At 38.8% G+C, this 3,165-nt stretch overlaps 1 pseudogene; it reads right to left on the bottom strand.

Annotated features, from left to right (window-relative positions):
* ANKRD49P3 (ANKRD49 pseudogene 3) lies at positions 732-1,778 on the bottom strand (annotated as a pseudogene).

Here is a 3,165-nt window from a genome sequence, read left to right as displayed (position 1 = left end):
AATCCAGATACTGCTACACATGTATGCTGCAACTGAACAATTAAGTAAATGTGCAGTAGAAGTGTGGGAGCCAGTTTCCTCACTATTAAAGTGGGAGGTTACAGATAAGCAAGGAGCTATAGATAAGCATGGAATGGTCCATGTAGTAATTCATTACAGTTGGAGACATCAGTGTGAATTTATATTTAGTTTAATACAGATACAGAAATACTTATGGATAAATGTATATTCATAATTTAGTATATACATACGTATTTCCTCGTTCTGTTAGCTGAGGGGGGCTAGAAAGAACAGCACCCCAGCAGCAATGAACACACCTAGAATCCAGATCTTGGTCTATAATACAAGTATAGGAACCATTACAAAGAACCAGGATTCCTTGGAGAAATGGCTGATTATAGTTTTGGGGCAGGAAACAAACAAGACAAGCCTCAAGCATCTTGTAATATCAGAAAGTAAGGAAGTGCTTAAAAATTAAAAGAAACTTACAATGATGGGATTATGTCAGAGGAACAGAGGGACACAGAGCCCAACTGAAAGAATTTCCAATGGACAAAGCTGGAACAATTTGAACAACAAAATATAGCAGTATTGGATTATAACCCAAAGTGTAACATAAATATCTGTAAGTCTATACTGAAAATGACTAAATAAATGATGGAGAAGAAACAAATGACCCTTTCAAAAGAATTCCAAGTAAATCATGTAGATACTCCCTTCTTTTTTTAATCATTAAATATGTATGCAAACAACTTTCAAATACATTTTGACATCAAAGTCAGTCAATTCACTTGGAAGAACATTATAATGAATACCACTGAATTTTTGTAGTAAGATGTTCAATGTCAACTTTGATTATGGGAATACTTTACATCTCACACAAAGGAGGCACTGGTACTTAGAAACTTAAGAAAATTTCCAGAACTGTTAAGACTGAGGTGAAGAATTTGCACAGCCTTCCACAATTTCAAAGAGGTAGTGATAGACACTTGTCCTCCTGGCAATATCAAATGCAGTTTCTTCCAAGTTGTTTTTCAGCCCTGGCTTGATGTAACAGTTCACCAGGAGGAGTTCTAGGGTATCCTTGCTGTCTCTGTTCCCAGCAGCAAGATGCAAGGGGGCCAAGAGGCCTTTTGTTTGGGCATTGATATCTGCATCATGCTGCAGTAAGAAAGAAACCACTCATATTATTCTACTTGCAAGCACTGTGCAGGGGCGTCCAGCCATCCACAGTCACTGCATGAGCATCTGCCCCCTGTGAAATGATCTCCTAGACAATATCTACGTGTCCACTGTAGGCTGCACGATGAAGAGGGGTATACTCATCTTCATCCCTAGTGTTCACATGAGCAGCCTTTTCAGAAAGTAGTCTCTGTACTGTAGTAAGCCGATTTTTTTCAGCAGCCCAAAGAAGCAATTTGCTTGGGTCTTTTTCCATTGTTTTTTCTTGCAATTGATACCACTCTTCATTTTTTTCATCTTGCTCTTCGTCTTCTTCAGAATTGCCTACCCAAAGACTTTGAGCACCAGTAGGAATAAGGTGTCCATGTGTTTCCAAAAATTCAAGTTGGTTAAAGTGTTCGGAAAAATCCAAGAAATTCCCTTGGTCTGGTATTCCATCATCATTTCCTTTTTCTTTTTCCATTTTTACTACTATTCTAAATAAAAAGCATTTCAAATGCCAGGGTATAAATAATCTTTCTAGAGATGAATTATGATTGCTTTATTCATCAAGATCTGACAGAAGGGAAAATAGCCAACATGCATCTCACTTCCGGTAACATTTTTTACAATTTTTTTATTATTATACTTTAAGTTCTGGGGTACATGTGCAGAACGTGCAGGTTTGTTACATAGGCATACATGTGCCATGGTGGTTTGCTGTACCCATCAACCCGTGATCCACATTAGGTATTTCTCCTAATGCTCTCCCTCCCCTTGCCTCCCACCCCGCAACAGGCCCCAGTGTGTGATGTTCCCCTCCCTGTGCCCATGTGTTCTCATTGTTCAACTTCCACTTATGAGTGAAAACCAAACATGAAGTGTTTGGTTTTCTGTTCTTGTGTTAGTTTGCTGAGAATGATGGTTTCCTTACTCCATTCTTAAGAAAGAGAGCATAAATCTCTACTCTTTAATTGCAGGCTTCTCATAGTGACTTCCTTTCAAAGAGTACAGCATGGAAAGGAAGGAGGGAAACAGTAACTTTACAGTGAAGAAACCCAGAAAACACCCATGGCCAGGCGATCAGGGCCAACATCAGCAGTGAGAAACCATGTTGATATAATGTGATGAAAATGGCAGTTTATCTCTGTGGTTTTCCCCCCAAAGCCCACAGTCTCAGTCTAATTGTGAGGAAAGATAACAGACAAATCCTATGTGAGAGGCATCCTACAAAATATCTGACCAGTACTCAAAACTGTCAAAGTCATCAAAAATGAGAAAATCAAGAGAAGTTTTCACAGCTAAGAGGATCCTAAAGGATACATGATGTGCGTGTATGGTAGTATCCTGGATAGGATCCTGGGACAGCAAAAGGACATAAGGAAAAACTAAGCAAATCTGAGTAACTATGAACTTTCAGTTATTAAAAATACGGTATGAATGTTGGTTCATTAACTGTAACAAATGTAAGTGGTTAATAATAAGGGAAACTGGGTGTGGGGTATACCAGAACTCTGTATATGGTCTTAATTTTTCTGTACACCTATAACTGTTCTGAAAAAATAAACTCTATTGGGAAAAAAAGTTCCCCTGGTTTTGATTCCTTTTATGTAGAGATTTGGGTCTTGTCTACAATATGATTCCTCATTCAGTTTCTTACTCTTTGAACTATTTCCCTTTCTTGTCCCATCTTGTTCTGCTTCTGCCACACTGATTCCATCACTGGGCAGTTCTAGCAGCTTGGAAACCCTATCATCGTGCTCACTTCTTCATGGTTTCTGCCATTGTAGAACAACATAGAAGGAGTTTGCAGCCACGAAGCAGTTCTTCAGTCATTCAAGGATACTACTTTTGTGAAGCCGTCCTCCCAGGGTTAAAATTCGGTAAATGCCCTCCCCATTCTTCATGTGGTGCAGTTTCTGAATACTTCACTACCCTAGACACTTTCCTATGAATATTTATGTTTGTTAAAATGAGGAACCTAGATCTAAATATGTTTTCCCC

The sequence above is a fragment of the Homo sapiens genome, chromosome 5, assembly GCF_000001405.40.
Source record: "Homo sapiens chromosome 5, GRCh38.p14 Primary Assembly".
NCBI lineage: Eukaryota > Metazoa > Chordata > Mammalia > Primates > Hominidae > Homo > Homo sapiens.
This window is presented reverse-complemented; position numbering and strand designations above follow the sequence as displayed.